The sequence below is a fragment of the Homo sapiens genome, chromosome 16 (genome assembly GCF_000001405.40).
Source record: "Homo sapiens chromosome 16, GRCh38.p14 Primary Assembly".
NCBI lineage: Eukaryota > Metazoa > Chordata > Mammalia > Primates > Hominidae > Homo > Homo sapiens.
In genome coordinates, this window is record NC_000016.10 from 76057610 (window position 1) to 76070990 (window position 13381).

At 36.6% G+C, this 13381-nt stretch overlaps 1 long non-coding RNA gene across 1 annotated transcript in view; it reads right to left on the reverse strand.

Moving 5' to 3' along the window:
- Nucleotides 1-7041: 7041 nt before the first annotated feature.
- LOC105371349 (uncharacterized) overlaps nt 7042-13381 on the reverse strand; it is a 57270-nt gene continuing 50930 nt past the window's right edge. The window contains exon 4 of the long non-coding RNA XR_933750.3: nt 7042-7617. This is a non-coding gene — a long non-coding RNA (uncharacterized LOC105371349). The remainder of the gene's footprint in view (nt 7618-13381) is intronic.

Consider the following 13381-nt stretch of genomic DNA (forward strand, 5'->3'; position numbering starts at 1 on the left):
TTTGAGGGTAGAGTGTCTTTTTTTCACTAGCTGATTTTAAAATTTACACCTTTATGGGTGGGTGTTGCATTTCCCAGTTTCCTGAAAATTGGAAAACTCTGCTAGTCTTCTCAAATTCTGTAGCTGGTGTTGTCAGGGGTTTATCTAAAACTCTCAAACCTTGCTTTAATAATGGACTGAATCTACAGATATGTGTCTAATGGATTTTTCTGGAAGGCTGCTCTACCTGTTTATATGGTAGTGCTAAAAATGCTCAGGAATTAAAAATCTCCTCCAATATTTCTTGACTAATGAGTGGTTGTTACAGGTGTAAGTAGTCTTCTCATATATGTGGTTTCACTCTCTGGGGTTCCAGTTACCTGCAGTCGACAGTAGTCCAAAAATATTAAATAAAGAATTCCAGAAAGAAACAATTCATAAGTTTTATTTCCATTAAAATTTTGTGTATTTCCATAGCTTTTGGCGTACAAGTGATTTTTGGTGACATGGATGAAATGCATTGTGGTAAAGCCTGAGATTTTTACTGTATCATCACCCCACTTGTGTACATTGTATCTAATATGTAGATTTTATCCTTTATCTCCCAATGCTCCCCTTTCTGCATCTCCATAGTACTTTATACCACTCTATATGCCTTTGCATACCTGTAGCTTAGCTCCCACTTATAAGTGAGAACATATGGAATTTAGTTTTCCATTCCTGAGTTATTTCACTTAGAATAGTTGGCCTCCAGCTCCATCCAAGATGCTGCAAAAGACATTTTTTCATTCTTATGACTGAGTAGTATTCCATGGTTTGTGTGTGTGTGTGTGTGTGTGTGTGTGTGTGTGTGTATATATCTCACATTTTCTTTATCCAGCCATTGGTTGATAACCACTTAGGTTGGTTCCGTATCTTTGCATTTGTAAATTGTGCTGCAAAAAACATACATGTGCAGGTGTCTTTTAGATAGAATGACTTATTTTCATTTGCATAGATACCCAGTAGTGGGATTGCTAGATGGAATGGTAGATCTACCTTTAGTTCTTTAAGTAATCTCCATACTGTTTTCCATAGAAGTTGTATTAATTTACTTTCCCCCCAGCAGTATACAAGCATTTTCTTTTCAGCATATCCATGCCAACATCTCTTTTTTGACTTTTAAATCATGGCCGTTCTTGCAAGAGTGAGGTGGTATTTTATTGTGGTTTTAATTTGCATTTCCCTGATGATTAGTGATGTTGAGCATTTTTTAATGTATTTTTTGTCATTAGTGTATCTTCTTTTGAGAAATGTCTATTTATGTCATTTGTCCACTTTTTGATGGGATTAAGTTTTTCTTGCTGATTTGTTTGAGTTCCTTGTAGATTCTAGATATTAGTCCTTTGTCAGAAGCATAGTTTGGAAATATTTTCTCCCATTCTGTGGGTCAGGTGATCAATGGAGTCCTGTCCCAGGTCTGTCTCACAATGAATCTGATGTTTTCATCCATGCACCCAGGGAAATCCTCTGGTTACCCATCACACAATCAAGATATATATATTTATCATTTGGGGGAAGTCTGACATTGCTTACCTGACTTATGGAGTTGTCCCATTCTCTGATGATTATTTCTTTTGCTGTGGAGAAGCTTTTTAGTTTCATTAGGTCCCATTTATTTATTTTTGTTTTGCTGCATTTGCTTTTGGGGTCTTAGTCATGGATAAGCAATTTATGAGCTTTAAATTGCACACCGTTCTGAGTACCATGATGAAATCTTGCATTGTTCTGCTCTGGCCTGTCCAGGATGTGAATCATCCCTTTGTTCAGTGTATCTATGCTGTAGACACTACCTGACTGTTAGTCGCTGAGGAGCCATCTTGGCTGTCAGATCCAGTGTCACAGTATTGCAGTGCTTGTGTTCAAGTAACCCTTATTTTACTTCCTAATGACCTCAAAGCACAAGAGTAGCGATGCTGGCATATTGTTAAAATTGTTTTATTTTATTAAGTACTGTTTTTAACGTCTTACTGTGCCTAATTTATAAATTAAACTTTATCATAGGTATGTATGTATAGGAAAAACATCATATATATAGGATTGAGTATTATCTACAGTTTCAAGCATCCACTGGGGATCTTGGAAACTATCCCTCATGGATAAGGGGTCAATATTGTATAAATACAACAGTTCCCCTACCCTTGAGCAGAATAAGCTTGGATGTGTGTTTTACTTTTTTCTTTTTTTCTCCCTGAAATTCCCCCATGGGATTAGCTAGCTTCATAATGTATCTTCTGTTCTCTGCATTACTTCGTGCATGTTAGTGTTCCTTTATCTTCCCCCAAAACCCCACTGTGCCCAAATCCTCATCTCAGGGTCTGAGTCTACTTTAATCCCAGGAGACTAAAAAGTTATCTTGCCAGCAAAGGGAATTATGGAGGTCAGGTGATCAGTGGAGTCCTGTCCCAAGTCTGTCTCACAATGAATCTGATGTTTTCATCCGTGCACCCAGGGAAATCCTCTGGTCACTCATTACAAAATCAAGATATGTATATTTATCATTTGGCAGAAGTCTCACATTGCTTAGCTGACTTACGGAGAAAGAACCAAAATGCTAAGAAAAGACCAGTGGAAGCCCCTGAAATTCCTCCCTTGTCAAGATACTAAATGAGAAGCCATAATGCATCTGAGGGAAGTGGCAGATTTAGTGCCACCCCATAGACTGAAAGAATGCAGGTTTGGTGCTCTCTATCATATCCCCATTCAGTTAACTAGTTTGGATCTTAAAAATACCAGATACATCATGGAAGATTATAAGGAACTACCATAAATTTAACCAAGCAACAGTACCAAACATTATTGCATCTGTGCAATTGTCAACACAACAATAAAGGCAAATAGTATCTTAACATTATTATGAAAATAGTGGTGACCCCACAGACCCCCCAAAAGTGCCATGGTGACCCTTAGAGTCTAGGACCAAGGGTGGGAGTGGGGGCATTGCCTTTCACTGTTATTCCCAGTGACTCAGTTGAGGAACTTGTGCTTCAGTTCCTAGGAGAGAGATGGTCCTGTCAGGCTACACAGTAAGAACTCCACAAAAGCTAAAATTACAGCTTTCTCCCAGTCATTCTGGTTTCTCACAGAGGAGTACAAAGACACTGAAAGTTACTACCCTGTCAGTGGAAATTAATCATTATTATCATGAAGATATACAGTTGCTGCTACATAATGAAGGCAGGGAGGTTCATTGTGTTTCCGTATCTAGTGATTAAGCAGAATTGCGTAGTAGCAGAAAGCACGGCCTTACAAGAGCATGGTAACCAGGGGCTCAGAGCCCTCAAGGATAAAGATCTGATTTACCCCAGATCATCAAAAGAGTGGCTAATTATAAGGAGTGTCTTGATTGAATAGTAGAAGGGATATTATTTCCAACTTTTGGATGAAACTGCAATGTGGAGTGTCCTTCACTAAAACTCCTATATTTATATTGATTTAAAAAAAATTTTAACCTTAAAGAAAAGATGACAGGATGGAGCAGACTTAACTTGGGAAGTGAGTTGTTTTGGGCATTACAAAGGGTTAACTGTAGTGGACACTGTCAGTACTCTCAGGCACCCCAGACCTTACCATATAGCGGTGTTCCAGATACTCAGCACCTTCCAGTATCTGTATCTTCATGCTTGATTCAGTCTGGAAGACTACTCTGCCTGTATCCATAGAAGACTGGAAGTGCTTTGGAATTAGCTAACACCCCAAGGAATATTCCTTGATCAATGCTTAACAGGAAAGCGTATACAACTACTTCACTACCCTTAACCCTTGGATGGGATATGTCTGAAGTATGTGCTTTATACCATTTTCCAGACTTACTCCAGGGTTAAACTGTATCTGTCCTCTGTATTTTGCTTAATAGAGTACTCCTTATTACTGCTTTCCAACCCTATATCCGTTTCCACTTCTCTCTTGTCTCGATATTCCTTGCATCTCCCAAATGAATTACTTGCACTATGTTCTTTCTCCCAGGGTCTGCTTCCAGAGAAACCCACACTAAGACAAATTAGTAGCTACTACTTTCTGCTAGGTTTTTTACCTCTTGGTCACTGCTTGGGAATTGGAAAATGCCTTGGGGTAAAAGTACTTCTAAATATCAGGTTCAATTCTCTGCTCTTCTTTTCTCCTTGGATTCTTGACCCTTCAAGTCCTTACTGATTTGATAGCTCTCTGATGCCTTCAATAAACTTTAAAAAATGTATCTAGCTATTTCAGTTGTCCTCAGCGGGAGAGTTGGTCCAACATAACTGATAGCAAAAATCAATTTCTTTCAGAAATCCATACGTGAATTGAAGAAAGTTTAATGAGAACTAAGAGCAGTTACTGCCTTATTCCATGACATTTAAAAAACTCCAAAAACATTTTAAAAATGTAATATCCAATTTTATAGAAGTGAAAAATAAAATAACCAAGCCAAGCTCAAGACATTCTTACATTATAACTCTTTCAATCACTTTTGATTCCTTGTTTCCTGCCAATCTCTACATGCATTGGGTAGTTTCTTTGTCCTTATTTTATGAGAAGAAAATAGACATTTAGATTTGCTGTTGTTTTCATCACACATTCTGGGATTAATTATGTGGCTTTCAAGGATCGTTCATTCATTCCTTCGAGGGTAAGGGAGCAAGTATGAAACATTCATATTTCTCTCCATTTTCTACCCGTAAATACAGTTCAAGAGGGGCACAAAATGGTATTTTACATGGAAACAGAGGCGTTAAGAGAATAAAAAAGAGCTTGTTTGAAGAGTTTACCATTAAGACTCATTCTATAGATTAATAGAGCCATCACCAGTCTCCAGGGTTATCAAGTCAACAATTTCATGAAAGTTAAATTTACATAAGAATGTGGGGAAAACGAATAACATTTCAATCTTTGTTGGTAGCAGGTCAAAAAGCCACATCCCTATTGAATTTGGAGCTCTGTTTTAGAGTGACTTTTACTGTGACCTCTTTTCCAGCTTTCAGTTTGTTGACTTGCTTAAGGCTTCTCCATGAACCAATTGGTTTCTGTGTAGTTTCAGTTCCATGTTTTAAGGAAGCTGTGCCTATGAGCTGAGTTGTAGATCTCATATACTACGTGCTTGTCATTTAGTGAAGGCTGTGAAGTTTGAGTGTTTCCTGAAGAGTGATAAATCCTACCTAACGAATTGTCTTCGTATTAAGAAGTAGGGCACAGTGTTGATATAATCTCACTTGCTGGTGTAAGAAATGCCTCTTAACAATTGCTTGCATGTTAGAGAAAAATAAAAGGGAAGACAACTAATATGTTATTTATCACAAGTTCAAGTAACAATCTGAATATTTATCCCATACTACCAAAAAATTATTTTAAAAATATCATGCACAAATTTTGTCATCGTGCCAATTAGCTATAGGAAGTTTTTTCCTTTTCTGCCTGAGAGAGCATGAACTTTGCTGATATAATTTTCATTTCCTCTCCTATGAGGTGCCACTCTAGGGTAAAAGAGTATGAAAATATTCTTACTTCTCTGAAGTGGAGCATCTAAAATGCTCTAAGATTAATATCTAACGTGTAAAAGCAAGGCAAAGGAGGGCTAGCCTGTTGTCTTAAAAAATTCTATGCTCCCCTTTCATGTATTTTTGTAAACATCCTACCTAATCCCTGTATTAGTACTGTTGATCCAAACTTTAATTCCTTGAGAAAAGAAAAGATGTATGGCAATTTTGATTATAGTTCTTGGCCACCACTGAATTGTGTTTGCTTGATCGGCACACACAGCTTGAAACAACTTGAACTCTGTAGCAGAATCCAAACCAAATACTTTTAAACATGGCAAAGATCTTTCCTAAATTTTTTCTTGGTGGTGGGCTGGCCACCACCAAGAAAATTCAATTGCAGCTAGCAGAGCCACCCAAAGAACTGCATTCACAACACCACAGATTGTGGCAACATTTGAAATTACAAAATTCGGAATAGCTTTCATGCAGTTAATTAGAAATAAATACGGATGTTAGGATGAGACACTACACGGTGGAACTCATTGGTGACATTTTTATTTGAGGGTTTTATTTTTGATGGAGAATTCTGGGTCTGGGGGCAACATCATCTGTTAAGGATTCACAGTCTAGTTGGGGGAAAACTTGAAGGAATGTATAATACACCAGAGTCAACCTGCTTATAGGAAAAACAGGAATTTGTGGTGTTATGAGTTCATGACCTGGTCAGAATAGGTTTAAAAAAATTTCCCCATATGGGCGGGCACAGTGGCTCACGCCTGTAATCCCAGCACTTTGGGAGGCCGAGGTGGGCGGATCACCTGAGGTCAGGAGTTCGAGACCAGCCTGGCCAACATGGAGAAACCCCATCTCTACTAAAAATATAAGATTAGCCAGGCATGGTGGCGCATGCCTGTAATCCCAGCTACTTGGGAGGCTGAGGCAGAAGAATCGCTTGAACCCAGGAGGCGGAAGTTGTGGTGAGCCGAGATCACACCATTGCACTCCAGTCTGGGCAACAAGAGCGAAACTCCATCTCAAAACAAAGCAAAAACAAAAACAAACAAACAAAAAACCCGAATAGAAAATCAACATGCACTATCCTGAGATCAAGATGAATTTTTGTTATTTTTATGCAATGTGGATCTGGAAACAAGGGTCAATGTAACATATATTATTCAAATCCCAAATAAATATTAGGGGATAATTTTTTCTCCCCTAACGTTCATTAAATACTTACAGTGTACTCTAAAAATATTATTGTCTTTGGATTTCATGATCCCTTGGGGTGCAGCTGTTAATATTCTTATATTACAAAGAAGGAAATGGAAGCTGTGACAGTCTAAGGTCACTCAGCCAGCGTGTGACAAGTGTAGACAGCTTCTACACCTTGAACCCCCTTACTATCTTATGATCAAGAGGGTTTGGAACTTGTGTGAGGATTTTCTTTTAAGTTTATATATTATACTTTATGCTGAGTTATCATCAAGAAACATACCATCATTTGCCTCAAACACCCATCAAAAGGTTTAATTGCATTTTTGGTAGAGGTCATCCCATGCATTAATATTGCCCTTGTATTTGGTTCCTGCCTGATTCTTATATGTTCAAGGGAAAATGAAATAAGGAAATGAGAAATTTGCTTTGTAAAAGTGACTAAGTGCTTTAGAGCATTTGTGGGATCAGGTGTGTATATTTTAAAACTCTAATCTAGAGTTAGCCACCTATTTTTTTTTTTCCCTTAGGACAACAGGCAGACGTCAGAAAGATGTGGGATTTTTCTGAGTTTTCCTGATTGGCCTAAAGCAATGAAGAGGAGAGGAGACAAAGACACAGGAACAAAAGAAAGGGAAGGAGGGGAGAAGTGGTATGACAAGGAGAGAGATTGGAAAGAAAGAAGGATGGGCAAAAAGGTGCATATGGAGAGGAATGGTTCTGAGACCCCAGAGTGTCTGTTGAATCTCTGGCAGGCGCCTGTCTGTCAATAACCCCCTTTTGCTCTGGTGAGGAGGGAGATAATTCATTGCCAGCTCCTTTTCTTCTACTTCCACATTGCTCTCTGGGGTTGGGAGAGGTGAGCAATTTGTTGCAAATGTATGATGAATTTCATTAAGAATTCACAACTGCTGTTAACATCACTGGAGATCTGAAAAATAGAAACCCAACATGCTCAGAACAGGTTTGACACACAGAGCAAAGATGTGAAATTTGCCAGAAATTAAAAGCTGTGCTGGTAAATTCAGGTCCTTTATGATTAATTTTTTTTTTCTGTGCAGAACATGATTTTATTGAAATAATGACAGTTACATGTTTTATTAATGTGCTTTTTTAGACAGGCTTCATAACATGATCTCATCATAAAGTCCTGGAAGGTAATGGATTTGTCATTCAATGAGTTAATGCAGTAGAAAGTACTTTGTAGCTTAGAAAGTGCCAAATAAATATTAGCTCTTGCAATCATGTTCCACATGGCAGTTTGATGTATAGATTTTTTTATTTTAAATAAACTTTATTTTAGAACAGTTTAAAGTTTACAGAAAAACTGTGAAACAGTACAGAGAGTTTCTACATACGACATACCTAGTTTCCCCTATTATTAACACCTTACATTGGTGTGGTACAATTATTATAAGTAATAAACCAAGATTTGTATGTTATTTAAAGTCCACATTTCATTCAGATTTCCTTAGTCTTTATTGAATGTCCTTCGTCCGCTCCAGGATATGATCCAGGACACCACATTACATTGATTTCTCCTGTTTCCTTCAGATCCTCTTGGCTGTGACAGTTGCGGAGACTTTCCTTGTTTTTGAAGAACTTGATCGTCCTGAGGACACTGATCAGATATTCTGTAGAATGTCCCTCATTTGTGATTGCTCTGGTATTTTCTTATGGTTAGACTGAGGTTATTAATTTGGGGGGATTATCTTAGAAGCAAAGTGCTATTTACATCACATCATATCAAGGGTATATACTGTATCAACATGACATACTCTTGATGTTGGTCACCTGCTTAAGGTAGTGTTTGTCAGTTTCTCCACTGTAAAGTTACTCATCCCTCTGCTCTCCATTCCATACTATACTTTTTGGAAGAAAGTCACTGTGCACAGCCCACACTTCAGGAGTGGGAAGTTATACTCCATCTCCTTGAATGTACAGTATCTATATAAATTATTTGAAATTCTCCTGCTCAGGAGATTTCTTCCTCCTCCTCTATTTATTTACTTATTCAATCACGTATTTGTATCAATCGGGACTCATATATATTTATTTTTTACCTTGTGTGATAATCCAATACAACTTTATTTTGTTGCTCAAGGTATTCCAGCTTTGGGAACCATTTATGTTCCCTTTGATATACCTGCTTCTTTGTGTGTATGGTTGTTTTTTGTTTGCTTGCTTGTTTTTTGGTTTTATTGTTTTGTTTAGCACTTCTTTAGAACCTCTGCCTCCCGGGTTCAGGCAATTCTCCTGTGTCAGCCTCCCGAGTAGTTGGGATTACAGGCACATGCTACCACGCCTGACTAATTTTTGTATTTTTAGTAGAGATGGGGTTTCACCATGTTGGCCAGGTTGGTCTCAAACTCCTGACCTCAGGTGATCCGCCCACCTCGGCCTCCCAAATTGCTGGAATTATAGGGGTGAGCCACTGTGCCCAACTAGGTCTTACACTTTTGAAAAGAGAAAAGGGAAAAAAGGAAGGAAAGGTGGATGTTAGGAGGAGCCTCGTACTGTGATAAAACTCCAGGAAGGTCTCAACAAGGACATTGAGGAGACCCATAGCAATTATTGCCCATTAGAGGAGATCCATATAGGGCAGAAATGGCCTGGCTCTGGGGTCCCCACTGTGCCTAGTCATCGGCTGAGAGCACTCGGAGTGTGGCTTTGGTATAAACACTATGGCAGTCTCAAGGTGCAGGAGTTGGTGGCTGTACAGAAAGGTAAGAGCCAACTATTTCCATGTCCATCACAATTCTCTATCATTCTATTGTCTGTTATATACTGAATGTGTCCCCCAAAATTCATATGTTGAAGCTCCAACTCTCCAGTACCTCAGAATGCCACTATATTTAGAGACAGGTTCTTTAAAGAGAGATAGTTAAGTTAAAATTAGGTCATTAGAGTGGGTTCTAATTCAATCTGACTGGTGTCCTTATAAGAATAGAAGATTAGGACACAGACACACACAGAGGGAAGATCACAGAAGGACACAGGGAGCAGACGGCCATTTACAAACCAAGCAAAGAAGCCTCAGAAGAATGGACACCTTGATTGCAGACTTCTAGTCTCCAAAATTGTGAGAAAATAAATTTCTGTCGTTTAAGCCACCAGTCTGTGGTATTTTGAAGCCCTTTAGCAAATGAATATAAAGTTTCACATTTAAAAGTTTTTCATTAAAAAAATCCATCACAGAACTACTGCAGTATTTACAGGTAAATGCTATAATGTCTGGAATTTATTTGGACATACTCCAGCTGAGAAGAGAGAGGACAGATGATAAAGAATGGCAAAATAATTACTATGAAAACTGTGTTTGAATGCTTGAAAAATCATCATCATATTCTCTCTAGTGTATAATTGAAAGTTGACATAATAAATAGTTTAAAATTGTAACCAACTCATTATTATTAATTACTGGTAAGTCTACTGGGCATAGCTTGTCAGGATCTGTGTGGATTTTTGAAATGTTAAATTTAGAAAACCACAATAATAACAGCTAGCCACTGAAAGTCAGGAGTTCTACAACACACTTTATGTAGCTATTTTATTGGTTGTGATAACCAGGCCAATAAGTTAACTATTTACACATTAAATAGCTTAGTTTGGACTTTCACAATAGCCTACTTGCTTCAAAATCCAGTGTTATTCCATTATAGTTTTCTGTCATGCCCCTGCCTCCCATATTAATAACTACTTTTATTGAATATTTGCTATTTGTCAAACATTATTTTAGATGTCATATACCATGAGGGGATGTCAAGTTAAAAAAAACACTACTTTTTTTTGCATCTATTAATATGGTAGTACGGTTGTTCTAATTTATTCTGTTAATGTGGTAAAATGTACTAATTGATTCTTAATAGCTTTATTTGGGTATAATTGACCTATAATTAGCTGCACATATTTAAAATTCACAATTTATTAGATTTTAATATACGTATGCACCTGTGAAACAATCGCAATAATCAAGATAATTACTATTTCTATAACCCCTAAAAGTTTCCTCATGCCCCTTTGAAATTCCTCCTTCCTGCCCTCTTCCCATCTCCACACCCACTCATCTGTTTTATGTCCTGGTAAATTAGTTCACATTTTTTTAGAACAATGATCAGCCAACAATGGCCTGTTGGTCCAATCTAGCTCAACCACCTGTTTCTGTAAATGAAATTTTACTGGAACACAGCCACACTCATTTGTCTACCTATCATCTATGGTTGCTTTCACACTGCAACAGCAGAGTATAAATAAGACAGATGCCATGGCTTGCAGAGCCTAAAATATTTACTATCTTTCCCTTTACCAAAAATGTTTGCCAACCACCGTTCTGGAACTTGATGTGAAGGAAGCATACTGTAAGTACTCTTATTTTTGTATGGCTTCTTTCACTTTCTGAGATTATTTTGATATTCATCCACACTGTATGTATCAGTAGTTCATACTTTAAAATGCTCAGCAATATTCCATTGTAGGGATATACCCATATTTTATTATCATCCACCTGTTGATCAACATTGGGTTTTTTTCAGTTTTAGGTTATTCACATAAAACTTCTATAAGCATTTAAGTCAAGTCTTAATATGGATTAGTCCTTTCTTTCTCTGAGAAAAAAACAAACCCAAAACACAGAAATGGAATGCCTGAATCATACAGTAGACATATATTTAACCCCTTAAGAAACTGCCAAACTTTTCCAAATTGGTGGTATCATTTCATATTTCCAACAGCAGTATACTAGAGTTCCAGTTTCTTCATATCCTCCCTAGTAATTGGTATGGTAAGTCTTTTTAATTTTAGTTATTCTGATAGGTGTGCAATGGCTTAATTTGGGTTATCCCAATGACTAATGATGTTGACTATATTTTCATGGGATTATACATTTTCTCTGGCGTTGTATCTAAAAATTGTGCCACTTTTTGGTTTTATTATTACTGATGTTTGAAGGTTGTTTATATAATACAATCTAGACACAAATCCTTTATTAAGTATATAGTTTGTAACTATTTTCTCCTTATATGTGGCTTGTGTTTTCATTTTCCTAATAGTATTATTCAATGAGTAAAAGTTCTAGTTTTCATGAATTACAATTTATCTTTGTACTTTTATGGATTTTTCTTTTATATTTATATGATACAACTTTAGTTAATTTGGTGTACAGCATGAGACATGAAGTTTTTCTTTTTCTTGTTTGTAGATATTAAATTTTACTATCTCCATTTGTTGAAAAGATGATTTTTTTTCAATTGAATTGCTTTTTCACCTTTGTTAAGTCAATATTTTCATATATGTTTGGGTCTATTTTTGGTGTTTCTTTATTCAATTGATCTATTTGTCTATCTTTGTACTAAAACCATATTGTCTTCTGTAGCTTTATAATAAGTCTTCAATTCAGGCAGTGTTTAATCCTCCAACTTTTTTCTTTTACAAAGTTACTTTGGCTCTTCTAGGTCTGTGGCATTTCCATATGATTTTCAGAATTAGCTTGTGAATTTGTACAAAAATACTGTGGGATTTTTGTTGGGATTTTTGTTAAATCTATAGATGTTTGGAGGGAATTGAGTCTCAATAATACCAGGTTTTCTAATTCATACACAACATATATCTGTCAAATTATTTTTCTTTAATTTCTCTCAACAATATTTTGTAGTTTTTAGCATACAGGCCTTGCACATGGGAAAGAAAAATCTTGGGCCCCCAAATTACTAAGCTAAAGGGAAAAGTCAAGCTGGGAACTGCTCAGGGCAAAACCTGCCTTCCATTCCATTCAAAGTCATCCCTCTGGGGTGACTTTGGGTTTATGTTATCAGGATTTCCTGAGGCTGTGTCATGGGCATGCAACCTTAACCTTGGCAAAATAAACTTTCTAAATTAACTGAGACCTGTCTCAAATTTTCAGAGTTCACACACATCTTTTGTCATATTTACTTTCAAATATTTCAATTTTAAAATTAATGTTGTTATAATTTCAATTTCCAATTATACTAGTTTATAGAAATACAATTTTTTTTATATTAATCTTGCATCTTTTATCTGACTAAACTTATTTGGTTTCGGTTTTCATTTTTGTTTTTATAGATAGTATTGGGTTTTCTACATGACAACACTTTACCTGTAGCTAAAGACAGTTTTCAATTCTGGATGTTTTATTTGTTTCACTTGTCTATTTCACTGGCTAGACTGTTCAGTCAATGTCGAATAGAAGAGGTGGGAACAGATGTTCTTGTTTTGTTTTTGATCTTAGGGACAAAGAATTCAGGTTTTCATCAGTATGTTGTTAGCTATAGGTTCTCCGTTGATATCTTTTCTCAGGTTGAGGAAGTTTGATTTTATCTCTAGTTTACTGGAAGTTTTTAAAAATGAATGTTTTGAAATCCATTTTCTCAGTTTATTGAGATGATCATGTGGTTTTTGTCCTTTATTCTCTCATTAACTGATTTTTGGATGTTAAACCAACCTTAAGTTCCATTTTATAAGTTGTTGAACTCCATTTGCTAATGTTTTGTTGTGAGTTTTCATATCTATATTCATGAAGAATTTAGGTGCTTGGTTTTAATTTGTGCAACATGTTGTCTGGCTTTGGTGTCAGGGTAATCTCAACCTCGTAAAATACTTTGAGAATGATCTTTTTGATTTTGTGGAAGTGTTGGTGAAGGATTGGTGTTACTTCGTCTTTAAACATTTGATATAATACA